This window comes from Homo sapiens, chromosome X (genome assembly GCF_000001405.40).
Source record: "Homo sapiens chromosome X, GRCh38.p14 Primary Assembly".
Lineage (NCBI taxonomy): Eukaryota > Metazoa > Chordata > Mammalia > Primates > Hominidae > Homo > Homo sapiens.
In genome coordinates, this window is record NC_000023.11 from 15,498,978 (window position 1) to 15,526,004 (window position 27,027).

The window sequence follows — 27,027 nt, forward strand, 5'->3', positions numbered from 1 at the left end:
CCACTCCTCCCAGCTGTCCTTGGGTGTTTTATGCCCCCAAGAAGGGATGGAAATCCCAAGAGATTGTGCCCAGGTGTTTCCACAGTTATACCGACTGTATTAGTCCATTTTCATACTGCTATGAAGAAATACTCAAGACTGGGTAATTTATAAAGGAAAAGAGGTTTAATGGACTCACAGTTCCATATGACTGGGGAGGCCTCACAATCATGGTGGAAGGTGAAAGAGGAACAAAGGCATGTCTTACCTGGTGGCAAGCAAGAGTGCGTGTGCAGGGGAACTGCCCTTTATAAAACCATCAGATCTGGTGAGACTTATTCACTGTCATGAGGACAGCACGGTAAAAACATCCACTCCCGTGATTCAATTACCTCCCACTAGGTCCCTCCCACAACATGTGGGGATTATGGGAACTACAATTCAAGATGAGATTTGGGTGAGGACACAGCCAAACCATATCACCAACTCCTCCTTCCCCTACCCTAAGTTTACTTTTTATTCTAGAATCGAACTTTTGCCATATTACCATATATAAGTTGTGAAGTAAATACAAATCGCCATGTGGAAAAGGAAATTAACTAGCAGAGTGTAGAATTAATTTATTTAGCCAGGTTGTTGTGCCACTCTTGCCCTGCTTCACCCTTAATTTTTTGAATGACTACCTACTATATTCCTAAAGAATGGAGAGCTATTTGGAATCCATCAGTGACTTTAATTTGCTATTAGAATGTAAGTTACACTCTTTTGAATTCTTCTGAAGGACTCCTTTCCCTTCCCAAAATTCTAGTTTCCAAACTGAAATATTAAAAAATATTTCTGCAAGTTATTTTTCCCATACTCTACTGTAATTAAACCACTATTTGTGGTTCCCCCCCCCCCCACACAGACACATAAGCCCCTTGAAGATGTGGGCTGCCTCTCTTCTGTTTGCTCTTGTGTCTCCAACCCCTAACGGAATGCTCAGCACATGGCAGGTTCTCAAATAAGACTTGACTGAACGAATTAATAGAAATGATGCTAATTCCATGTACACTCAAAAGAATACCTCTTTGAAAGCCAGTAGCTTCACTCTCTTCTGCCAACCCAAGACTTCTTCACATCATAGATACTTACAAATAAGTTACAGTAAGCAACAATTTATAAGTAAACACAGTGTGTCAATGCATGCCAAAAGGATGATTACTTTTCTTGGCTATCCATAGCAGGACATAAAATATGTCCTTAGATTTATTACAGATGGCCAGCCGGTATGCACCAGAGAAAATAGTGGAATGGGGGAAGCCAAAAGTTGTGAGTCTGTCATAATGATGTCAAGTGACACACTTTTTCATTGCGATCTAGGTGTACCATACCTTAGCAAAAACAATCTATTTTCCATTTCTGGATTTCTTAATAACTTAAACTATATAAATAAGCTCCTTTTCCATCATATGAACTGTTCTTACATATTCTCTGGCCTTCCTTTGTCCAAATGTTGAGTTGAAGTTTTCATTGCATATTCTCTGTGCACTTTGCATTACCTAATGGTTTCCTGGCTCATGTGAGAGAAGTCAGCGTCAGCAGTCGGGTTTTGCCGAGATATTTTCTTGTCCTTTCCAGCATAGAGCTCTACAAACAAAGGCAGGGTTATCACATGTACCCGAGAGCTGCCTGGGAAAAGTGGGAGCTATAGTTATCAAAATTGGAAACTTTATGAAGTATGCTTTTGTCTCCGTTTTTGTTGCGTTCAATCAGATCAACAAGTGTTGGCTAAGTGTTGAGCGTGGTTTCCTGTGGGATTGTGTAAGGCTCTGTAGGACAATAAACGTGTTGGGGGCACTGAGTAATGTAGCCATTTCTGACCCGGCAGCCAGGAAAATGTGAAACAATTTGCTTCTGGAAACAGGACAGCCGGGGCCGTGTTCCTGCAACAGCAGACCAAGCACCGCGGCGGACCCAGGCAAGCACGGAACAAGCTGAGACGGTGCGTTTAAGCGGCAGGTGGCTACTCAGTGTCGCATACTATGCGGAAAATAGGTTTGGTTCCCGGTGTTGTGGGGCCTGAAGTTACAAACTTTGGGAAGCTCACTTTAAGAAAAATAGTACAACATTTTTAATATGAAATTGCCAGGGCTTTCTCTGGGACTTTAGATGGGACCAGGTAATTTGGAGGCCAACGGCTGAAACTGCTATAATTTCACTGTAAATTCACTCCTTGCTCAAAATCTCAGTTAGGGAAGCTCTCAGGTTGTTTATGTATCACCACCAGTTCTACCTAGCTTTGTGTGTATTCTCTGCTAATTTTCTCCATCCGCTTCTTTAGGTATTGCCTTTCCATAGCCTTTCATATTGGCCTCATAACTGCTTCCAAAGAGACATAGAAATGTTCCTTATACCTTCTTTAACTGTGTTTTTATGATGTTACTTTAGCTACAAATATTTGCTCTTAGGTTCCTGAGGTCTCCCTAAATCAAGTGCTTTGTGTATTTTAGATGGAGATAGACAGGTGGGAGGGAGGTGAACCATGCAGTTGTACTCATATCCATATAATTTTGAAAGATTTTGTGGGCCACAATGATTTCATTGGATTTGAAAAGGAGTGCAACTTTGTGGTCCATGTAAGTGCTTCTCAAGCTTTCCTGTGCACGTGGATCACCTGGGGATCTTGCTAAAATGAAGATTTGGCTGCGCGAGGTCTCGGGTGGGAACTGAGAGTCTGCATGTCTAATGATCGCCCGGATGATGCAAGTGCACGGACCACACTTTGAGTCACATCCAAGTATTTATTTGTAGGAAATATGGTGGCACAAATACACAGTCAATAAGGGTATGGTTCAACCTCATTTTATGGTAACTCGTCTCAGGATGGAAAGTCTGCGACAAACCTACTATGTATGGACTGGTGTTTGTTGACATGGCAATACATGAGGAGGTCTTCCTGCCTCCCATTTTCTCCTATACCCAGGAGCTGGGGACAGAGGGATGAGAAGTAAAATTTTATCATTAAGGATCATTATTATTTCACTGTCTTTAGTTTTTTAACTTTTTATGGTCCTTTTTAAAACTTTGCCTATGGAGTGATCAGAAGGGACATAAGCTTTTAGAATATCTACTAGGGTGTTGGGCATTAGGCTGCCATTTTCTCTTGACTACTTGTAACCCTTCGAAGTGGTTATTGTTTCACTGCCTTTACAGATGGGGAAGCTGAGGTTTAGCTGGGTTAAGTAACATGACAGATTCCATAGAGACAGAGCAGGGATTCGAACCCAGCTCGGTGCTTTCACTTGCACTAACCGGCATCATGAAAGCAGTGTTACATGTTTAATTCAGCATGAGATGCTAGCTCATGGATTTATTACTTTTTGCTTTTCTCCTAAGGAAGTTGCCCAGAGAGAGTGCCCTAAGCAGAGGAGAGGGAGCAGAAAGAAAGAGGTTACTGAAAAGAAGAAAAGACTTAGAAAAGCTCTATGGGGCACTGAAGATTAATCTCACACCTAAAGCAAAACTTAGCTCCAAAAAGACTAGCATTAAGATTCTTGCCTTCTTTGTGAGAAAATGATCTTCCCAAAGTGTCTGGTTTTTATACACTTATTTTGGATCAATTAAGGTATGATGCTCCAAGATGCTGAGAATTTGACTGTCAATGTTAAAAGATTTCTGTCCATATCATGCCAAGATCAACTTTAACTTTCCCTCTCCTGCATAACATCATGTGAAATAAGGATCTGTCAGGTTCTGTGAAGCCAGTATTTGTCTTTGGCCAGCATCCTAAGACTTTTTGAACCACTTTACTTGATCCTCAGTCAAACTTTTTGTTCTTGTTTAAACCTACCATCACATTTTGTTCAGTTATTTAGCACGAAGATAAGCGGGCCTGGCATTTGGACAAATATTTGAAGATCAAGTTTGTCACAGGGCCCTCCAGTTTCCCTTCCAGATCCCACCCCACTTGGAGCGTCTTCCCTTTCTTTCCCACCCTTCCTGCTCTACTGCCCTCCCACCACATGTATTATTTTAACATCTTGACACCTACAAAATCTTTAGCTATATGGCATGTAAAGTAAGAGAGGATAACTAAACCAAGTCAAAGGGTAAGGAATTGCTATCCTTATCTCTGAATTTTAAAAGATAAATCTTTAAAGACACCACCCTGAGCCAGTCAGGGAATACACTTCCTGGTTGAGGGAACTATCCAATGGCCACTTAACTAGATAACCCTGTCTCCCTTGGTATCCTGTTTCCTGCTCCCCTTCTGTACCACTGAGAATTTATTCCAACTTTTGAGGTTGTATGTTCTTACCTATTTTCAGAATGTGGTTTCAAATTTTGCTATTTAACACTGCCTTTCAGCAGGAGATTCCTATCGAAAGATTATAGGTAACATCTTTCTGATATTTCCAATAAAATGTCTCTTGCACTGGTCTGTTAAGACTCAGATTTATGGGTAGTTTCACCAAACTATGTCCCTTAGCAAAGCTGTAGTATGTTTGGCTGAACACACAGATATCTCCTACTCTGTTTACTGCCATCATGGAGTGGATGGTGTACAGGTATGACACCTGAAGCTGGCTCCCAGGGCCATGCCTCTTAGGTCACTGGTTAACAGTACTGGCTAAGTCACTTAGGCTGCTGGGGCTCAGTGTTACATCTGTAAAATGACTTCTAGGTTTCTTATAAGATTTGACATCCTATGACTGCCTTCCTGTATTTAGGTTAGAGCAGTCTCTGGTTTAGGAGGGTCACACAGCAGGCATGTCCTTCTCTAGCATTAGTAGCGTGGTCACGAATATGGGATGTGGAGTTAGACTGCCGGGATTCAAATCTAGCTCCACCCACTAGCAGTGTGACCTGGGCAATTTATTTATCTATTGCAGCTCCATAAGCTATAAGCAGGGAATGATGTTACAACTTACTCTATAGGGTGAATGTGTCACAACCTATCCCATGGGCTGGGAGTATCACAAAATATCCCATAGGGTGGGGGTGTTCTGGCCTACCCCATAAGGTGGAGGTGTCATGAGCTACCCCATAGAGCAGTTGTGACCAGTAAACTCTAAACAGCCTGGCACATAGTGAGCCCTCCTTAAGCATTGGCTAGGATCATTATCATAAAATCACTCTCATCCTTCAAAGTCTAATTTCAATGTGCTCCCTTCTAAAATACCTTACTTGGCTACCTTAAGGAAAAAACAACTTTTCCTTCCTTGGACCTTTCATAGCAAAGTGAATAGACTCTACTCTAGCACCTACATTTTTTTCCCCATCTTTTCTTTTTTAAAACATAGTTGGTACCCACAATGTGCCAAATACTTTCACCATAAGGTTTCTCATTTAAGTCCCGTAAAGTAAGAGAGTTGTTACCTATCTCAATTTACAGATCAGAAAACTGAAGGTTAGTGCAGGGAAGGGGCTTGGCCAGGGTGACACAGTTTACAAATGACAGTTCTGTAACCTCCTCCATGCCTTCCGAGTCTGCCACCCCACAGCAATCTTTCATATTAATTAGTTATGCAGCCCATCTCTCAAACTTGTTCATTGTCACTCAGGGCCACGGACAGCTGATCTTTATTTCTGGAACCAGTCACTCAATGTTGGACACACTGTAGGCTCAAAATCAAGCATGCCAAATAGAACTGCCGACTTGAACTTCTTACTCTCATGACATCATTTCCTTATAAATCCTAAAAAACTATAGTGATTATAAGTCATGTTAATTCAACACACACCTTTTATGTATGTAAGAGGTTAACGAATGGCTGCTGGCTTCCTTATAGGAAATACTATATTGATTTCTGCCAGGTTTTTGTGTCTCCTCTGTGCCTTAATCACTTTCTAGTTTCATCTGTTTATGGAAATAGGCAGCCTGGGCTATTTGGTAAGCAAATTGATAGGTCTATTCTATGTGGGTGGTAATATGAGAGTCCACCCAGATCCCACTAGCTCTTCTATGGAAATAGATTTCTTGTTAATACTGACTGGGTTTAGGATCTCATTTTACTATAAAAGGTTTTTTGTTTCACCTTCCCAACTGAATTTTCCCTAAATAAGCATAAGAAGAGCAGGGTTTGCTAGTTGTTGGACAGGCATTTGACTTAACAGTAAGCCCTGTTTATTTATTGTCACAATACGAGGGGGGAAGATATTGCATTTCTAAAAATTAATCATCAGCAACTATCCTTCTATATCAAGAGAGACCACAGAAATGTTTTCAAATTAGAATTTAGGCCATGTAGAGGAGAAAGGAGAAGTATAAGGAAGGGACAGAAGTAAATAGAAGGAGAAAGGCAAGCCCAAGCCTGAGCAGAAACCACATGGTTTATCTTAGAAGAAACTGATCTGGAAATGAAAAAAGCTTGAGTCATCAAGGTGGGGTCCTTCAAGACTGTTAGGAAGCCTCAGTAGCCCAGCTTAGGGAGTGGAGCTTTGAAGGACTGTTCCTCTTGGATGGGTACCTCAAAAACGTGTGGCTTCAGGTGTTTGTTACACGAGAACAACATATTACGGACTCAAGTGCACAGTATGTGAACCCATCTTTGAGAAAATAAGCATATGTACATAAATATTTGAAAAGAAAAACATCTAGAGATGTGCTGTGTTTTTCTTTTCCCTGTCTGTATCTCTTGGCTTTATAGAATAAACATATATTGCATATGAATCTTAAAATGAAAGCAAAAAATGTATAAAGGGCAGGATTTTGAAATGAACAATTATGTTGAAATTTCACAAGTTATATTTCATCAGATGCAACAACGCTTGTAAACCCTTGGAGGTTTACTGGAGAAGGTGCTTGAGGGCTCAATACCTTCCTTTTTACTCAATGTTCTTCCTTTCAATACACAGAGGCAACTTTGTGAATTTGTCAGTGGTCTCTGTGACTCATCTTATTAATTTTTTATATAAAATTCCAAAAATTCTCACCTTTAGTGTGATGCACATAAAAGTTTTATTTTTCTTTTCTTCTTCTTTCTTTATTATTATTAATTTTTTTTGGAAGACAGGGTCTCACTCTATCGCCCAGGCTGGAGTGCAGTGGCGTGATCCTCCTGCCTCAGCCTCCCTAGTAGCTGGGACTACAGGTGCATGCCACCATGTCTGCTAATTTGTCAAAAAAATTTTCTAGAGACAGGATCTCACTATGTTTCCCAGGCTGGTCTCAAACTTCTGACCTCAAGCGATTCTCCCTCCTCAGCCTCCTAATGTGCAATATGCTGGGGTTACAGGCATGAGACACTGTGCCCTGCCTAGGTGTGAAAGTTCTATAGACAGAAAAATATGTATACCAGCACATAGTACTGGGAAAGACTGAATAGCACCTTGGACATTGGGATTTTTACATTTTTAATACAGTGTTGTTAATGTCACAAATCAATTCAGCATCTAAAAAAATTAAAAAGTAAATTTTCTATTCAACTAATCAGATCTATTTAATTAGCACTCTGCTTTGAGGAATGATGTTTCAGCTGTGGATATAAAAAATTGACAAGAGTTTTCACAGTTTTCTCCTTCTGCTTCATTAGTAAAATACGGAAATATAAAAGGCAAAAGTACCCTACAACCATGTCCAATGTGATATTGCCTCCCCAAAGGAGGCTTTCACTCAAAAAAAGTAGACCCTCATTGTTTCCATAAGTCTCCGAGCAAATTCTCTTCCGGCCACAGACTTTGGATGTAGAAAATAAGCTTATCTGGGCAGGTGGATATGCAGAGTTTGCAATGGAAGCAAAGATAAAAGGAAGGCATGCTACTCTTACCTCCATAGGCTCTACTCTACCCTGATCTCTGCCCTGTCTTTGATCACTGGGCAAAGAAACCAGTGACCATGGCAAATAGTACCCATTGTACTCAGAAGAAACCCATTATACTTTTGTGAAAGAATTATCCTTTTTAAATAGCTAAAACAATATCCCAGGGAAAAAGTAACCAAGACTTTATTATATTGAATGGATAAGATTTCCACTACTTCTGTCTAAAAATCAAATAATGCCCTTGGAGGACATTTTAGGAATTAATAAATAATCTTTTGTTCTACATAGTAAATAATAAAAGCTGGTTTTCTTAATTCCACTTTGAGAGTTGTGTGGTCTATGTTAGGAGGAAAGCTGGCTGGAGCCAACCATGGTTAATTCAATGCCAGGCTGTATTTCTTAGTCTCCCTTTCATTTCACTCTTCTGCCATAGTGGGTCCATCATACTCCCAGGCCAGTGAGAAGTGCCCTCTAGTGATTGGATGGGTTCGCTTGGCGCCCGCCTCCATGCAGACAGAGCAATGCCTGTGTGGGTGCTTCCTGATCAAGACTGATGAGTGGGATGCAAATATCTTCTTTTTAATGCATGACCCTGGCATAGCCAGAGGGAATATGAGTGATGGTGCCTCAAAGCAGTAACTTTTTGCTTAGAGCTTGAGAGTCAAAGTTAAGGACCCACATGTATACTTCGGCTCTAGCGAGTCTAAGGTGAGTAAAGCCTTCAGATTATCAATAAAGAAAGATTTTAACTATTGGGCATGTGAATTCAAATAACGATGCAATTTCACAAAGCAAAGAAGAACATAAGAAAGTTTGTTTCTCTGGCCTACTGCTCAACATTGCTACTTTTCATGATCAGACCTGATATTAGACTGAGGGTTGAAGTAACTGTCTTAGTAGAATTAGAAAATTAATGCATTTATTTTTCAGAAATACCTTAAGTTTTAATGTTTTACATGATTTTGGGATAAAAAGGAAGAGTCTTTTTACTTTGTAAATGTACTCATTTTTTCAGTTCTTTTAAATCTCTTTTGATAGCATCTGTTAGTGCACCCTCATACATTTTCCTCATTTTATCTTATCTTAGGCATTTACTTTGATTTTAAATTCTCATAGATATTGAAAATTATACCTGTGTAATTTATGTTAAAGATCTGGCCATGATCAGGGGCTGCAGGTGTTATTTACAATAATGTCAGTGTCTCATAGTGGTTTGGGTAATTTGGTCAAATTACAGGCCGTTACTTCATAAATTGTGAGCTGTCTGGAGTTAAATTTTCTGAAGTTTTATTATATCCAATTCAATTCAACCAACACATATAGAATGTTTAAAAAGTAAGGAGCATTTTGATAAGGTGGTCTGGAGAATGGGGCAAAGATGATGAATTTATTATCCACAGTGGGAGGAGTCAAAAGTATAAAGTGCTTTTTAAAAATCAACATATTTATAAAACCCAAAGCAAAGGCAGCAGAAAAACTGTAGCTATTGTGTAATTTATTCTATAATCCTACATCAGTCTCATTTATTAAAATCAGCATTTATATTATCCCTTAATAGGAAATCGTTGAGGAAAAGATATGAAGGTTAAAGAGAACTTACCTAGATGCTGCAAATACTCATTTTAATTATTTATTTTGTTTAGGATGATAATATGGATACAAAATCTATTCTAGAAGAACTTCTTCTCAAAAGATCACAGCAAAAGAAGAAAATGTCACCAAATAATTACAAAGAACGGCTTTTTGTTTTGACCAAAACAAACCTTTCCTACTATGAATATGACAAAATGGTGAGACATCATGTGTTCCATTATTTTTATACTATTTATTATTTTTCCTAAGTCTCCACAAAGTACTTGATCATAATGAAAGAATATCAGGTTTCTTAACTTACACTGTGAAGATCCTCTTCTATCCACTTATCACATGACCTTTTCTTAATGAAAGTATAATGAATTCAAGATAAAGGATTTTAAAACATTAGTTAACTTTACTAAGGCAAATTATAACTTTAGAACAGTGGTTCTCAACTGAGGGCATTTTTGCTCCCCAGGTGACATTGGGAAAAGACTGGAGATATTTTGGGTTGTTCCAACTGGGGGATAGGAACAGTAAGTGTTAAAGACATCTAGTGAGTAGAGGCCAAGAATGCAGCTAACCATCCTGCAGTGCACAGGACAGTCCTCACAACAAAGAATTACCCAGCCTTAAATGGCAATAGTGCCTTAAAACAATGCTAGAAATAAGACTATTCCTGTACAGTTGAGAATTCTACTATAGTAAAAACACTGAAATACTGTCATAAGACTGAGCCAAAATGAAGATGCTTTGCAGAAGTTAAATCTTGATTTTCCTGAGTATATTAACCACATGGTAGGTGATTTGAAACACATTTCAAGATAATCAAACAAGATTATTAACCACTGGAATATATGTGTTTGTGTCCAGACTCAAGGAATAGATTATGTTGTCATTGGATTTTGACTATTACGGGGTAATAGGAAGTGACTCTCCATTGCCCACCCCCCACCCCAATCTCCCTCTCAGGCATAACTTGGGCTTTATGCCTTTCCTTGTGCACCATGATGTATTGCAGGAAGTATCTTACATTTTGTTTTTTAATTCAGAAAAGGGGCAGCAGAAAAGGATCCATTGAAATTAAGAAAATCAGATGTGTGGAGAAAGTAAATCTCGAGGAGCAGACGCCTGTAGAGAGACAGTACCCATTTCAGGTAAAGGGAAGAACGACATTGCATTGGGTGGATAGTTCTTCCTTCAATTTTTCTATCGTGAACTCAATATATCTAGGAAAAATAATGATATTTCAAAATAATCTAAACAAGGCTTGGAATATTCCCACATGGGAGTTGGGCATTTTGCTAAAATTCTGTCCACCAATCTGCCTTCCCTGGAGGGAAGGGAAGGGAAGCAAGACAGGAGCGTAAGTCGCAGTGACCTGACCTGCCTCAGGTCTGATCATCTCTTTTAACAAACATTGCTGAGTATCTCCGATGTGGTACACAGTAGTAGGCATACTATGGGGAACAAAACACTGCCCCTACCCCAAGGCATTTACAGGGAAGTGGCAAAATAGACTAATACACAGACCATTACAAAGCAGTGAGGGTGAGAGTTAAGGTGGAGGTCAGCAGAATGCATCCATGGAGTCCCAGGATGTGGAAGTTTCATTCCTCACTCCAAGAGGCTAGAGAGATATTCTATTGGAGGTGACACTCAAGTTGAGAAGGACAAGTAAAATTTAACCCAGCAAATATGAGAAGGACAGTGGTACAAAGGAAGCAGCAGGTGTCAAGGCACTGATGAGTGAAACAGTATGACACATTTAGAGAGCACTAAGTAGTCCCTATGAATAAAGAAGCCCATGTGACAGTGAAAGAGATAGCCTGGAGAGGTGACCATGCTAAGGAGTTTTCATTTTACCCTGAAGTATTTTAAACAATGGTATGGTATGTAGTGTATGCTGGTAGTACCTTTTGGAAGTGGCCTAATCTAAGTCATGCCCTACTTTTCTTATAGCATAAAATCTTACATTTCTGATCCAAAGGTAGATGGATTGTCTTTCAGATGGCCTGACTACCCAGTGCTAGTATTAGGAACCTGTGGCCAAAAATGAAATACAATAATCCAGTTGATTAACAACCCATACTTCCCATTTGGAAAAAATATTACCAGGCCAGGCACAGTGGTTCATGACTGTAATCCCAGCACTTTGGGAGGCCAAGGAGGGAGGATCACTTAAGGCTGGGAGTTCAAGACTAGCCTGGGCAACATAGCGAGACCTCATCTCTACATAAACATTGTTTTCATTAAAAAAATTACCCAATTGGGGGAAACCAGGGGAGGGCATGCTCATGGAAGATGCTGCAAACTCACCTCATAGAGGCATAGTGCTCAAAAGATCACAGGCTTTGGAGCCCCCAGAGAGTTCCTAGTTCCACCACTTATACTTGTGCAACTGTAAACACATACTCAACTTCTATTTCTCACAGAGTTGAAATAAGATTAAAATACTGAAGTAGCTAGGAAAGAGCCCAGCAACTAGTAAGTGTTTAACAAATGCTGTGTATATTTACCAACAAGAGTTGAATAAACTAGAGAAGGATCTGGAGAAGATATTGTAATCTTCAAACGTTTAAACATTTGTCTTAAGAAACAGAAAAGTATATATTCTGGAGATTCCTGGGGTGCCACATGATGAAATAGATGAAAGTAACAGGGAAACATATTTTTACTCAATGTAAGTATGAACTGTATAATGATCAGAATATATGGATATTGGCAGAGATGACATAGCAGAGTAAAGAACATTCCATCCCTGAAGGTATTTTTAAAGATAGAGCAGTTAAACATTTTCCAGTGGGCTGTAAGGAAATCATGCACTGGGTAGGCAAATGGACCAGAACAATACTAAGACACGTGTAATGTCTAACATATTAATGTCCATAGTCCAGGGTGTCCCTGATGAGAACTCAGTGTTCACCACTACTATGAGGTACATCATCGCTGTAATTTTCCAAAGTATAGGAGTGTCTGGGATAAAACAAATTGATAACTGGAGGATTTTTTAAGAAAATTTTTTTCATCTAATTCCAGAGCTGATGTATACTGTATAAGCAAACTCAAGGTTTCTTTTGGATGACAAAAAATTTGCAGGTGCACCAAAGTGAAGTATGGTGCAATTATATATAAACACACCAAATATTTTCCTTTCCAGATTGTCTATAAAGATGGGCTTCTCTATGTCTATGCATCAAATGAAGAGAGCCGAAGTCAGTGGTTGAAAGCATTACAAAAAGGTAATTCAAAAAAAGAAATGTTGAAAGAGAAAGGTCAAAAAAAGCCATAAAAGAGAGTCGTTTTTTGAGGCTTGGTGGAGGAAAGACATGGCAGTAAAAAGACTCAATGCCAAGAGACAATCTACTGATTTTCCTACCAACCTCAGGGAATGTGTCAGACTCATCCTCATTTTTGCTTTCTCATTGTTACATACAGGAAGCCTGTGGATTGGATTCCCTGGCCCACACAAAGCCAGTATTGTGCCTTCCCAGCAGCTTAGGGGAAGCCAGGCCACCTGCTCTCCACTCAGTATGCTTGCCTTTACCAGGGGAAAGTCTAGGTCATCATGGGGCTATGTCAAGTCCTGTAGCTACCACACTTTTGATGTTTATAGAAAGTTACATCTAATACTTATACTGAGCATTTACCATTTGCCAGCTACTTTATCAAATGCTTGTAAAACATTTTTTTAGGTAACCCTCTTGACAACTCTATTGAAAGGGGTAATATTATTCTCCATTTTTCAGACAAGTAAAGTTTTTAAAACATGGCCACTGTCATAGATACAGTAACGAGGGACTCAGAACTCAATTACCTAAACCTGATTTTTTAACCAATACATTGTAAATGCTAGGCAAAACTGAAGATTTAATGAAGCTTTTATTCAGTGATGTTTAGGCCGCCCTGGTAACAACTTTTGGTAGAAGGGAGAGAATCATTGTTAATGATTTGGCACTATAGTATTTCCCTCTGTGATATTTTCAAGATGGGTAAAGGTGTGAAGACAATATTTAACTCAAATGAATGGCTCCATTTGTGAAATTTCAGGTATTATGCTCCTAGATGGAGGAAGATTTTATTTTATTTTATTTTATTTTACTTAAGTTTTAGGTTATGGTTCTTTCTTAGTACACCTCAAATTACACACAGTTACTCCACTTTGATGCAAATACACCCTTCTCACACATAGGGCTTAATTTTTCCTTTGCATAAAAAGGTTTAGCAACCCATTCTGCGGGTAGCAAGTGGTCCACTGGGGGACAGAAGCTTCCCTCTACCCACCACCAGCTCATTGAAATGAGAAAGACAACCCCTCTAGAGTTAGACACACCTGCAGCAAAGTGCTGCTTTGCTGTGTCACCTAATAAAATCATCTACCATCTCTGGGTTTAAGTTAATCCTGACCTGTCAAATAGGAGATCACATTTCTTTTCTCCTAGAGCAGTCACGAGCCACAGATGAGACACTCATAAATATATTAAAATATCTTATGCACAAACATGAGTCACTGTGGTTACTGTAGGGCTTCTAGGAGGAGCTCTAAGATTCTGCTTCCCATTTAGTCTCCTTTGGTGGAATTTCCTGAGCGGTAGGTGCTATGTCCTATGTACAGCTCTTGGTCATGCCCTGCTAGATCTCATGTGTCTGAGCAGCTCATGTGAAGACATACGAAATGTAAAGGAAGAGCAGAGAAAGAAGCAAAAACACATCTCCTAGCCCCTCATAAAACTGCAGAGAGTCCCCATCACTACAGCTGCCATATGCACAATAAGTGGTTTGTCTCTATGCACAGTAAGTGGTTTGTATCAGTTAGTGATGTTTTGGGCTGCAGGTAAAAAGACATCAAACAGTTGCTGAAACAAATCCACTTTTGTTCTTCTCTCACAGTAACAAATGCAAAGATAGGCAGTCAGTCAAGGGCTAGTGCAGCAACTCAGTGAAGTCAGTAGGGATGCAGGCTCCTCCTAGCTTTCTGCTCTGTTATCCTTAGAAGCTGCAGGAGAGATTCCAAGCCTTCCCAGAAGCCTCCCTGCAAACTTGTGCTTATGTCACATCATCCAGAACTATATCTGATGGCCATTGATGTGTACAAAGGAGGCAAGAAGACAGTATCTTTTTTTTCCAGTCTCTGTGCTGGAAGATAGTGAGAAAGAAGGTGCATGGGATTTGCTGTCAAGTTGGCCAACCAACCTGCTGCAGGAAAACAAAGAGGTTCTCCTGCTCAAATATTCTCCCCTACAAAGTTTCATTGTGCTATAATGGCTCCTCCTGCCTTTTGTGTCTATTATTTGGCTCAAGCATTATAAACTGAGGTAGACATTTAAGATAGAATTTTCCAGATGTTAACCTACACTTGGAAGGTTTGGGCTGATTCAGTGGTAGCATAGGAGTGTGTGTCAATTATCATGGTTCTGAATTCAGCTAACCAGATGTGGAAAAAATGTGCTCTTCCTTCCAAAAATTAAAACAGAAGGGGGTTTTGCAGAGGAGTTGGCACCTGTACATCATAATGTAGTAGAAAAAGCCTGAGGCTGAGTCTCAGGTCTGCTATTTATTAAGCTTGTGAAGTTGAGCAATTGTACTACCTCTCTGCACTTCAGTTTACCTAACTCTGTGAGAGGTGTAATAACAATAGCTACCCCTCAGGTTCTTGAATTGATTAAATTAGAGGACATATGTAAAGGAAAATACATAAATGTAAAGTCCTATGGATATATGAATATATGAGTTCCTCTTATTGTCGTTATTAGGTGGTGAGACTGTTGCAATGTAGACTTTTGGATTTGGTTGGAAAAAGAATTAGTTACCCAGGAAACCAAATCCATGTAGTAAGGAAATAATAGGAATCCCAACATGTGGAGGCCAGAAGCTTAGAGAGCAGGAAGGCAAGTAATGTGCCCAAGAGATTGCAATGGCCATTTGGAACCAAAATCAGAAACTTACGTTTTATAATTTTAACTCTTTTTGCCTTTTGTGATTTCTGTCATAATTTCCCTTTAATTCTCATTAGTAAAGTTTTTTAATGCCAGCATTTTCAGCTAAACTGAGCTAAGTTAAATTAAGGGAATGATATCACTAAAGCCCACTGTTTATTGAACACCTACTTACTCTGGGCCAAACACTGCTGGGTGCTTTACATACATTATCTAACAGCCTCCCAATGACCCAGCAAAGTAATTATTATCTCCATACGCTTCCTTGAGTCAGGACTGTAAGGATAAGCATAACTCTCCTGGGATCAACATAAGGAAATCTCAAGATGAACATAAGGTCAAGAGAGAAAGAGTTAAAGGCACATATAGAACCAGCCCTTCTCACCTAGATACTCTTCTTAAAATATACTAAGATCTTGTAGGTTTCTCTGTTGTATTTCAAAAGAGGCTAATTTGTTATAGATTACAGTTTCATTTATTTGAATTATACATTGCCCTATTCCCGTGGCTTTTTAAAATATGCACATATTCCTAGGAAAGTAGCCCCATAAACCATTCATTCCTTAGTATAAACATGTCAAAGTCACAGAAGTCAAGGAAGGGATGAGAAGCAGTTCTAAATTAAGGGAAACTAAGTGCCATGTTTGATTTTGAATTGGATCCTTGATCAGAAAAAAAGTGAGTGATTATAAAGGCCATTATTGGAATAATTAGAAAAATTTTAAAGATGAAATATATTTTAAATAATAAATGCAGCCATAAAAAAGAATGAGTTCATGTCCTTTGCAGGGACATGGATGAAGCTGGAAGCCATCATTCTCAGCAAACTAACACAGGAACAGAAAACCAATCACCGCATGTTCTCACTGATAAGTGACAGTTGAACAATGAGAACACATGGACACAGGGAGGGGAACATCACACACCAGGGCCTGTTGGGGGATGAGGGGCAAGGGGTGGGAGAGCATTAGGACAGATACCTAATGCATGGGGGGCTTAAAACCTAGATGATGGGTTGATGGGTGCAGCAAACCACCATGGCACATGTATCCCTATGTAACAAACCTGCACATTCTGCACATGTATCCCAGAACTTAAAGTAAAATAAAAATTAAAAAATTTTAAAAATTAATAATAATAATAATATTGTATCAGTGTTAAATTTCCTGAGTTTGATAATCGTATTACAGTTATATAAGGGAACATCCTTGTTAATATAAGCTATGTGCTGAAGCATTTATGGATGACATTATTTAGGTCATACCATCTACTACTTCCTCATAAATTATTAAGCACAATATAATAATGATTTTAAAATTTAAAGAATAATACATATGTACAGAGAGAAAGAGATACAGCAGATGTGGCAATCAGTTAATAATTGGTGAATCTAGGTAAAAGGCATATGGATGCTCATTGTATTAATCTTATTCTTGCAACTTTTCTGTACATTTGAAAATTTTCACAATAAAAAGTAGATGGAAGTGTATGTTTATTCAGGCCTTTTTTTTAGAACCTTTTGCTAAAATTTAGCCCCACCCTTCCCCTTCTGCCACAAGAAAACACCATGTGTTGTAACCCACTCACTTTCTTTACAGATATATCTCTAAAATCCTAACATCAAGCTGATCTGTATATGCATTTTACTAGTTATTTTTTCTTCAAAAATGATATGTAATTGTGTTGTTCTCAACATACTCATGGTTAGACTTTTCTTTTTTCTTTTTGGCTTATTAACTGTTGAGTGAAAGACCTATATCCTTCCGGAACCATTTGCTCTTACCTTGGTTGCTGGCCAAATGGGGTTTTTATTGTTCTGTGATAACAGCACTTACTGAATGTTTCTCCTCTTGGATCAACGTTTGCTAACGTCTTGTTTTCTTCCTGTCTGCTCCTCAGAGATAAGGGGTAACCCCCACCTGCTGGTCAAGTACCATAGTGGGTTCTTCGTGGACGGGAAGTTCCTGTGTTGCCAGCAGAGCTGTAAAGCAGCCCCAGGATGTACCCTCTGGGAAGCATGTAATGTGTGATTCCTCTGTTGGACTGGACGTTGGGTGGATAGTGCTCCATTAGGCTAAACCTGCCAGAGGCCAGAAGAGCTTGCCAGAAAACAAGATGTGCCAGATTGGTTGGCATCATGAAAATTCAGCCTTGCAGATGCTATGTGACAAATGAAATCTCATTCTAGGGTCAATTGAGTCATGGCCATTAAGATAATAACAATATTAACATCTGCCATTCTTTCATTTCATGAGAAACATTTTAAAAATTTGAATCATTAATCAAGCAATGAGCTGTTATTTCCTCCCATAATTTTTCTTGGTTCAAGATAAACTCCAAAAAGGTAGAATATGTTAGATATGTCATCATAGTTCAAACAGCTAGGTTTCCAGTTTGGTAAGAAAACCAGCTCGCTCTTCGTATAAATAACGAAAATCACAAACTGAAAAAACAACATTATTAAAAAAAAAAAAGATATAACTTAAGTAACACTTTTCATCACCATGTATACTAAAATGATGGTCAAATTTTAAAATATATATTTAAAGCAGTTCGCCATTCTCTATATGTGTGTTAATTTCTTAATGACATGAGAGAAGGGGCTGCTTTACGTGAAATCAGATTCTATCCAGAGTTGTACTCCCAGGGAAACAAGAGGGACTTATATGTATTTAAAGTTTATAATTATTTAACATAAAGTTGTTGATAAATACAAAATAGGATAACTTATTTTGGTAACAGTTTTACCAGCCTGGACAAAATATGCCTGGATTACAATGGCTTTAAAGAATTGAATGAGATCAGCTACAAAATAGAACTTCATGAAATGGAAAAGATACAGGCACATAAAATATTTTTTAAATTCACTTCATGACAGTATTGATACCCAACAATCATGTTAATGTTAATACTGGTCATTTTACCCCCAAAAAATCAATTAATAAATATTCATTGTGTTTTCCATCTTAATTAGACTATACAGTGAATATTTATTAATCTCAACTAGATCACATTGCTCTATATACTCATGAATTATAGTTATTTAATGAACTATACAGATTGGTTGCACATGGGTCTTCGCTCCACTGTAAGGGACTGAGGAGTAATGTCTCCTTATGGTATTAATCATTTTCCCCAGTGGTTTTGTCTATGGTCTATTTGGTCTATTATCATTACCTAGCAGGTCAGATTCCAGCTTTGACAATGCCCTAACTTTCTGGAAGGAGCAGGAAAAAGGCCAGAGAGAGCACTGCCTTGGGATTGCCTTCCTAGGCTCTGTCTGGATGACACTCACCATGTGTTCTGGGTGCCACAGGTGCTGTGCCTCTGAGGAAAACTACAGAGTGTAGAGGTGTTGCAGCTCCTGAGCAGCTGTAATACTGTCTATCTGTCCAAGTATAATTTATTCCCTTGGCTTCTTCTGCTGAGCTACTGGGAAGTCCATGGGCATAACAACTAAAAGAGAAAAAGTTAGGTGTCTTTATTTCTTTTTGTCCAAGATGCCTTGATCCATCCTCTTTCCAGGATACATGGCCTACATAGGAGTTGGGCCTTATATAGGAAAGCTACAGAATCACTCCAGATGTTGTGTCTGGATTCACTTAATCTGGAGTATTGCTCACACAAGCTGGTTCATTCTTTTAATTCATAACATTGAGTGTTTCTCTTTGTTTTGTTTAAAGTTCCTTCTGATATTACTTTGTTTTAATGTTCAGATGCTAATCTGCATACTGCAGTCAATGAAGAGAAACACAGAGTTCCCACCTTCCCAGACAGAGTGGTAAGTCAACATTTTAAAAATGTTTTTCATGGTCAGGATATATTAAATAAACCAAGAGTTGCCAGATTCAAGACTAGAAAATGTGGAATTCATTTAGACTTCTCAGCAAAGAGAGAAAAACCATGAGCTCTAGATAATAGCTATGGGTGGTATTGAATAGCGGATTCAAATATAGAACCATTGTAATATCTCATATTTTTGCATTTCATTGTTGTGTCTTTTCCTAGCCAGTAAGCCCATAAATAGTCACCAAAAAAAAAAAAAGAAAAAATGGGTGCATGCGGGAGATGTCCTTAAGATGGCATCACACATAACAGGCAGCTGTTATTAGCTGTCATTCTTTCCTTACCATCAACATGGCCAAGACTGCTTTGTGGAAGTATCCTGGTGTTGAAATGAAACTCTATAGGACAAAAGCAGAAAACAACATAATTCTTTCCCTCCATTATCCCTTCAAAGCTATTCAGTGGGCTTTCTTCCCTGCTTCCAAATAAAGTCTTTGCCAAATTCCATAGTTTTGCAGTCATTCTCAAATGATAAAAATGTCCCCATTACTTGTAATCATAAGAACAGCCTCTGAATTGTTCCATCCAATGTTATTATCACATGACTGCAAACATCATTCCAAGTTAAACATCTGTCACCTAGCTTGGGCCTGCATCACCTGGCAGCATGCTTTTGGGGAGGGATTTTGGGGGGGCTGAGATTCATGGCCCTTTCAGAGTTAGTTCCAAGGAAGATGAGGTCTAATTAAAAAAAGACACACATAGCTGTTTCTATCATGATTTGGTGGTGGTGGTATCGGAGTGAGTTTTCCAGCACTGATTCTTTATCTCATGGGAGACTTTTAGGAATTTCCTACTGAAGGGCAGATCCATATGTAGTTTTATGACAGGGGAGAGATCTTGATCCTCAGTTCTTGGATTTTCAGCCCTCAATCTTTCAAGATGGCTGTCAGCCAACTTTTTCCCAAGAGTGGAGTTGGCCTATAAGAAAACAAACAAAACCTTGATTGCTCTGGTTAATTAAGCTGTATGTAGCTCTCTCTCGAAGTACAGGCTACTGCTGTCTTTTTGCTCTACTCTCTTGGGTTCATAGCCACAGCCTTCTGTTTTTAGGGTTCCCAGGCAGGTGTGAGCCTCCTCAAATGCCAGGATACACAAAAAATGGCTTCCCATTGGTTCTCTGGAAGTTCACCTGAAAGCAAGGGGACATCTCCGCCCATCTATTGGATCTATGGTGTCTTGGGTACTTATTTTCAGCTACACACATTCGCACACACTTCTCTCTTTCTAAGTAAAAGCCACATAATTTTCATGAATCAACATGAAAGACAAAAATAATCCATTATTGTAGTAGACTGAATAATGTCCCCCAAATTTCATATCCATGTAGAACCTCAGAATGTGACCTTATTGGAACTAGGATCTTTGCAGATGTAATTAGTTAAAGATCAAGATGAAATCACACGAAAGATGAGAGTGGGCCATAAATCCAATGACTAGTAAGATGAGAGGACACAGAGAGATACACAGAGGAGAAGGCCATGTGAAGACCTAGGAAGAGATTGGAGTTATGTTACCACAGGCCAAGGAACACCTGTTTCTTAGTCCATTTGTGCTCTACTAAGGAATACCTGAGGCTGGGTAATTGATAAAGAAAAGAGGTTTATTTAGCTCACCGTTCTGCAGGCTGTACAAGTAGCATAGCACTGGCATCGGCATCTGATGAGGGCCTTAGGCTGCTTCCACTCATGGCAGAAGGGAAGGGGAGCTAGTGTGTGCAGAAATTGTATGGTGAGAGAGAAGAAACAAGAGAGAGGGAAGGGAGATAGCAGGCTCTTTTCAACAACCAGCTCTCATGGGAAATCATAGAGTGAGAACTCATTCACTACCATGAGAATGGCACTAGGCCATTAATGAGGGATTCGCCCCTATGACCCAAATACCTCCCATTAAGCTCTACCTCCAACACTGGAGATCACACATCAACATAAAATTTGGAGGGGTCGAATATCCAAACCATAGCAACTTGGAACCACCAGAAGCTGGAAGAGGCAAGGAAAGATTTTATCCTAGAGGCTTCAGAATAAGTATGGCAATGCTGAAATGTTGATTTTGACTTCTAGCCTCTAGAACTGTGAAACAATAAATTTTTGTGGTTCTAATCCACCAAACTTGTAGCAATTTGTCATGGTAGCCCTAGGAAACAATTATAATCGTTAGGAGTTTTACTTTGTTATTAGCAACATTGCTGTTTGGGTTTGAAAATATGTTTCAGTCCTGAAGCTTGAAAAGTATGGCCCTCTAAAACACCTAGGAGAAACGCCCAGATTAGGCAAATCTATAGAAACAAAGGGTGATCAGTGGTTGCCTGGGACCAGAGTAGGGATGAGAATTGACTGCAAATAGGTATGAAGGATCTTATTGGAGTGATGGGAAGACTGGGCTGTGGTGATAGTTATACAAGTTGATAAATTTACAAAAGTCACTGAATTCTGCACTTTAAAAAGGATGAACTACCAATAAAGTTTGTTTTGACAAGTCTAAGAGCAGAAGATAATTAAGAGCCAGAAACCATTGCATCTAGTCTCCAGCAGGGAACTTTTTGGCCAATATATTGAAAATTATCAGCTAGGCAAATCAGTGGCTAAGGGTTCATAAGCCTGTTTTGATTATAAGCTTCCCAAATGAACCAGGGATCAGAGGGTATCATGTAAAGTATGTTTTTCTTTGTTTTGTTTTTTATCAGAGTATTCAGTAGAGGGCTTATTTTCTGAATGGAGGAAATAAAAATCAGCTCTCTAGTTGTTCTGTTCAAAGAGATTTCCTTAAATGATTTCCATTTAAGGAACTTCCTAGTGCATTTTTCTTTGGACATAACCCACTTCACAGCTCATAAATAACACTGTCCTGCATAATTAAAATTTCCAGAATGTCAAAGCCTTAACTCCAAGTAAATGAAATTTCTGAAAAACTAAAATATAGCATGAAAAAAATATTAAATGCATCTCTTTCTGTCACACACGCACACACAGACACACACACACATATTGTGAATTTTTAACTGAAATATAACATTAACATAGAAAAGCACACAAATCCTAAGTGTTCAGCTTGATGAATTTTCACAAACTGAACAATTCTGTATAATCCACCCTCAGATAAAGAAACACAACATCACAGAACCCCAGGGACACCCTGATGTTCCCTTTCAGTCACTACTACCCTCCAAAAGTAGTTGCTAACCTGATTTATAACATCATAGATTGTTTGCCTGATTTTGACTTTTATATGACTGGAATTATAAAGTGTGTAGTCATTTATTGTGTGTCTTCTTTTCTTCAATTTGTGAGATTCGCTTATTTTTTTAGTATGTGATTATATTTACCGTCATCATTGTATAGAATTCAGTTGTGTGAATATACAACTGTTTTGGTTTCTTATTACTGTTCTAACAAATTACTACACAAATTTAGTGGCTTAAAGCAACATACATTTATTCTCTTATAGTTTGGAAGATCATATGTCTAAAATGGGTCTGCACAGCTGTGTTTCCTCTGGAAGCTTTAGGGAAGATTCTGTTTCCTTGCATTTTCCAGTTCCTAAGGGGTACTTACATTTATTGGTTCCTGGCTCCTTCCCCTGTCTGCAGAACCAGAAGGTTGCAGGACCTCTACTCTCTAACCTCTGCTTCCATCCTCACAGCTCTCTAATCTCTGACCACCTTATCTCCCTTTTATAAAGGCCATTTTGATTACATCAGGCCCACCCCCACAAAATCCAGAATAGTTGCCCCATCTCGAAATCCTTAATTACAATCTGCAAAGTCTCTTTTACCACGTAAGGTATTCACAGGTTCTGGGAATTAGGACATGAACATATTCGGGAGACCATTTTTCAGCCTTCAACAACCACAACATGTTTATTATTTTATCCTCTTGATGGGCATGTAGGCAGTTTCTAGTTTTTATCTAATTAAAATAATTCTGCTATGAACATTCTTTTACAGGTCTTTTGGTTTCCCTGTTGTGTATATATACGTAAAATTTATGAGTCATAGGGTATGACCAGATGCACATCCAGATTTACTAGATTCTGCAAACAAATTTCCAATGTTGTTGTACCACTTCATACTCCAACCAGCAAAATATGAGTTCCAGTTGCTCCATATCCTTGCTCATACCTTTCTTCTTTCCTTGCCTCTTTCCTTCCTCCCTTCCTCCCTCCCTTCCTCCCTCCCTTCTCTCCTTCCTTTCTCTCTCTTTCAAGAGCTGATATACTTAATTGTCAGTTCCCGGTACCTGAATCTGTGCCTCACTGTGATGTATTAAAATTTCTTCCCCTCCAAAGCTGAAGATACCTCGGGCAGTTCCTGTTCTCAAAATGGATGCACCATCTTCAAGTACCACTCTAGCCCAATATGACAACGAATCAAAGAAAAACTATGGCTCCCAGCCACCATCTTCAAGTACCAGTCTAGCGCAATATGACAGCAACTCAAAGAAAATCTATGGCTCCCAGCCAAACTTCAACATGCAGTATATTCCAAGGGAAGACTTCCCTGACTGGTGGCAAGTAAGAAAACTGAAAAGGTAATCCCCAGCTTTCAGACGGGCTGCCCAGCATGTAGAGTAAACACTACCCCGGCTGCCCTGGACCTCAGCCTCAAAGCTGTTGATCCAGGTCTTAGGCTGTCCTCTCAGAAAATGTTCAGTGCTTGAGCCAGAAGTCTGGGGAAGCAGTGGCCCCACTGGGGCTGAGAAGCATAGATTTTCCATTTAGATTATCCAATCTAATGATCTCAGTAATGCCTGATCATTGTATTCCCTTCCCTTTCTCCTCCTTCTCCCCCCAAATATCTCCACATTCCAGAATACAGAATCTTTAAAAATCTATCCTTTATATGAAAGAGCTTAGGATGGGCTTACTTTTGTAATGTGCTTCAGTATCACTAGCCAAATGGCAAATAGCATTTCAAGCAAGGCCATGGCTTGCCTTCTTGGAATGTACAACCTCACCTCTCCTGACCTGATTAGTCTTCTCACAGTTTTTAGCCTAAAGATTCTATCTAAAGCCAGAATTGAAAATTCCTTGAAGGCAACATGTAAATTGTGTATGTATGTATCTCTTGGTATGGCACTGAATTTGCCCTACACTTGATGCCCAATAAATGTTGAATTGAATTGCAAGATGACCATATGGAAAGGGTCAAGTGACTCCCCTTCCTTATTTCCTGTCTCAGACCTCCTTCCTATCATGTTGTCTACTCTCTGCCATCTTCTCACTCAGTTATCAGCATCCCTGCAGGGAAGTCATGTCTGCCTTTCCCCACAATGGATACAGAGCATCTCTCTGACTCACCATGTATCTCTTTTCTTAGTTATTTTTCCCATGTCCTTTTATTCCTTTGTTCTTTCCATCTTCATCATTTTTGCCTAAAGCCAATTACTGAAAGTTTCAATAATACAGGGCCATATGGAATTTGAAATAATGTAAGTGTGTTCTTCTTGATTTTTTTTCAGTATAATAAGCCATGGTCCCTTTCATTCCAAAGTGGAGCTAGAATCCTAGTGTATTAATCTATACCTGGTGCCCAAGGTATGGGGTTACATTTGTGCGCCTGCAGCCCACCATTCTTGTGGAAGGAGAGGATCAGTAAACCCAGTTGCAAGGAGAGTGAAAGTCATGTTAATTGTGTTCCAGGTCCCCTTCCTGACAGAAACTCCAGTGATTCATTGAGAGAGGTGTGAGGTGAAGCTGACTGCCCTGTTTTCAAATAACCAGGAGGAACTGTCGATTCACATGGGGTTGCTGCCATTATTGAGTTTTTGACACTCCTTTAGATTTGCACCTCCTTAGGTTTAGTCCCAACTGTGGATTTTCCCTAGAACTTCAGGAAGCTAGTTATTTTAACAAAGGATTGATTGATCACCTCTTAGCATGAGCAGCATTGCATCTGCAAGTAAATTATAATAATTGCTAAAAGGTCTTCATGGAGCTTGACTTTTTAAAGTGCAGCCATGATTCTTATCTCATATATGGGATAATACTTTTTATCAACTTTCTGTCATTCTTACAATCTTCCCTGAGCTTCTTTTTAATCTACTTTCTGTTTAGTAAGATAATCTATGCCCCCATTAAATCATTCAAATATTACAGAATATTCCATTTACATTCCCCTAAAATGTTTTCTATGCACATGTGGCCATGTGCATACAAAAGCAAGTAAGTTCTCACGATACAGTCTTTGTCATTTGTTCTTTTCACTTGACATCTTCAGCATTTTTCCTATTTGAATACATGAGGATACACCTGACTTTTAAAATTTCATTTTCATTTAATTTTGGTGAAATATACATAACATAAAGTTTACCATCTTAATTATTTTTGAGCATACAGTTCAGTAGTGTTAAGTACATTTACATTGTTGTGCAAATTGCCTGATTATTTTTAATGTCTGTAAGTACCAGTTGTATAGATACTAGGTAAACCTAAGTGATGCACTATTGATGGACATTCTCTAAGTGTTTTTAGAAACAACAAGGCTAAATAAAAGCTATTCTAGTGGGCAAGGCTCTTTGGGAAGGTGGAGAGAGAGGCATTTTAGAGTTTAAGGGCTTTATCTAGGCATTCCTTGAAATAGAGCCAGGGGAGCATTTCCTTGCTAAGGAAACTTGTTTCTATGAACTGTGGTTTTGAAAAAAGTCTGGACTATGAAGGCAAACAGGAAATAGGTTCCACATTCCAGATAAAACAGCCTTTAGACTTTGAGAGGTAGGCACTTCTTCATGCTCTGCTTAATACCCCAAATAAAAGAGATAAAATGATCTATGGCAGAGGATGATGAAAATCCTCCTTATCCATCTGTGTCCAGAAGGAGTAAAAAGATCAGCATTTTCAAGAATTTTAATTGTAGTCACAATAGCTAAGAGGAAAATAAGTTATTTTAAAATATATAAGTGACAGAATGCTTGCATATATATAAGAAAATCAGGGCAAATCCAGTCAAGATGATTTATTAATCTAGATTTTCCATTGTTTAAGATAATTATGAGCCATTATTAACAATTTTCTTTTGTTTAGAAGTGTTGCCAGACTACTGCTTTTATTGGAATGCCTGAAAGAACCAAAATGTGAAAGTAACTCATTAGCTTAAATTTCCCAAACAAGTGAAATGTGTGGGTCAAAATGTCAAATAAAGCTAAAACATATCTGAACAAAATTACTTTTGTCATTTAAAATTTATAAGTAGACATATGTTTATAAACTTATAAAATGTCTCTTTTTTGCAGTAGCAGCAGCAGTGAAGATGTTGCAAGCAGTAACCAAAAAGAAAGAAATGTGAATCACACCACCTCAAAGATTTCATGGTAAATCAAATTCAGATATCTCCTACATCCAGAATATGCTTCCATTTTCAGGAAAACTAACCAAACTTGCAATAATTTTGCAGCTAGGCTTTCTACTTAAGGTAAATATAAACCAAAAAAGTCTATGTAGTTTGCCTCTCTGAACCCTGAATGGATGGCTTTTGGGTTCTAGTTTTTCTTGAACTGACTATTCCTAGCCAGCATCCATGACATACACCAGTAGTAGCACCAACATTAGTATACCTGACCCAGGCATCTCTAGCAGGAAGAAAAGCAACCTAGAGTTGAATAACTCTTCCATAAGAATAGCTATATACACAACCCAATTTTTTTTTAACTTGATACTACAGCCATCTCTGAAGGAGTCTTCATCTATTTCGTGAGCCCACTCTTTGGAAAAAGTCAAAGAAATATAAGTTCTTCTGGGGGCCTCCTGGGGATCTCCTGTATCAAAGAACCATTCTTTCATTAAAACTTGGCATAAGCCCAACTTTTGAGTGACTCTCTCTTTACTGTTGCTGTGTTGATACTTTGCCAGGTGCAGAAGGAGAAACCTAACAATCTAAATGTTATTTAGGTGGATAAAATCAGGGTGGGATTTGATATTGCATGGCTACGCACTTGGATTATTTCTTGGTG

At 38.8% G+C, this 27,027-nt stretch overlaps 2 protein-coding genes across 5 annotated transcripts in view, besides 1 other annotated feature; one reads left to right on the forward strand and one right to left on the reverse strand.

Annotated features, from left to right (window-relative positions):
• Positions 1,830-27,027, forward strand: part of BMX (BMX non-receptor tyrosine kinase) — a 55,713-nt gene continuing 30,515 nt past the window's right edge. For 2 of the 4 annotated variants that reach the window (NM_203281.3, XM_017029752.3), the window contains exons 1-8: positions 1,830-1,963; positions 9,368-9,514; positions 10,352-10,456; positions 12,460-12,541; positions 17,135-17,254; positions 18,952-19,016; positions 23,369-23,610; positions 26,311-26,388. In NM_203281.3, coding sequence (NP_975010.1) covers positions 9,377-9,514; positions 10,352-10,456; positions 12,460-12,541; positions 17,135-17,254; positions 18,952-19,016; positions 23,369-23,610; positions 26,311-26,388 — 830 coding nt within the window. In that variant the 5' untranslated portion in view covers positions 1,830-1,963; positions 9,368-9,376. Of the gene's footprint in view, positions 1,964-8,330; positions 8,433-9,367; positions 9,515-10,351; positions 10,457-12,459; positions 12,542-17,134; positions 17,255-18,951; positions 19,017-23,368; positions 23,611-26,310; positions 26,389-27,027 lie in introns of those variants that run through there. The other 2 variants (NM_001320866.2, NM_001721.7) reach the window with 2 other exon arrangements.
• Positions 19,220-27,027, reverse strand: part of ACE2 (angiotensin converting enzyme 2) — an 89,015-nt gene continuing 81,207 nt past the window's right edge. Inside the window, exon 18 of the mRNA NM_001386259.1 lies at positions 19,220-20,002. Within this exon, the coding sequence (NP_001373188.1) occupies positions 19,951-20,002 (52 nt within the window). The 3' untranslated portion in view covers positions 19,220-19,950. The remainder of the gene's footprint in view (positions 20,003-27,027) is intronic.
• Positions 20,707-20,979: a silencer, noted in NCBI's record as "fragment chrX:15537807-15538079 (GRCh37/hg19 assembly coordinates)". NCBI's record gives its function as "represses an EF-1alpha promoter that drives an FKBP-Casp9 reporter gene in an ReSE screen in HepG2 liver carcinoma cells {active_cell/tissue: HepG2}" and the evidence as "EXISTENCE:reporter gene assay evidence [ECO:0000049][PMID:32094911]".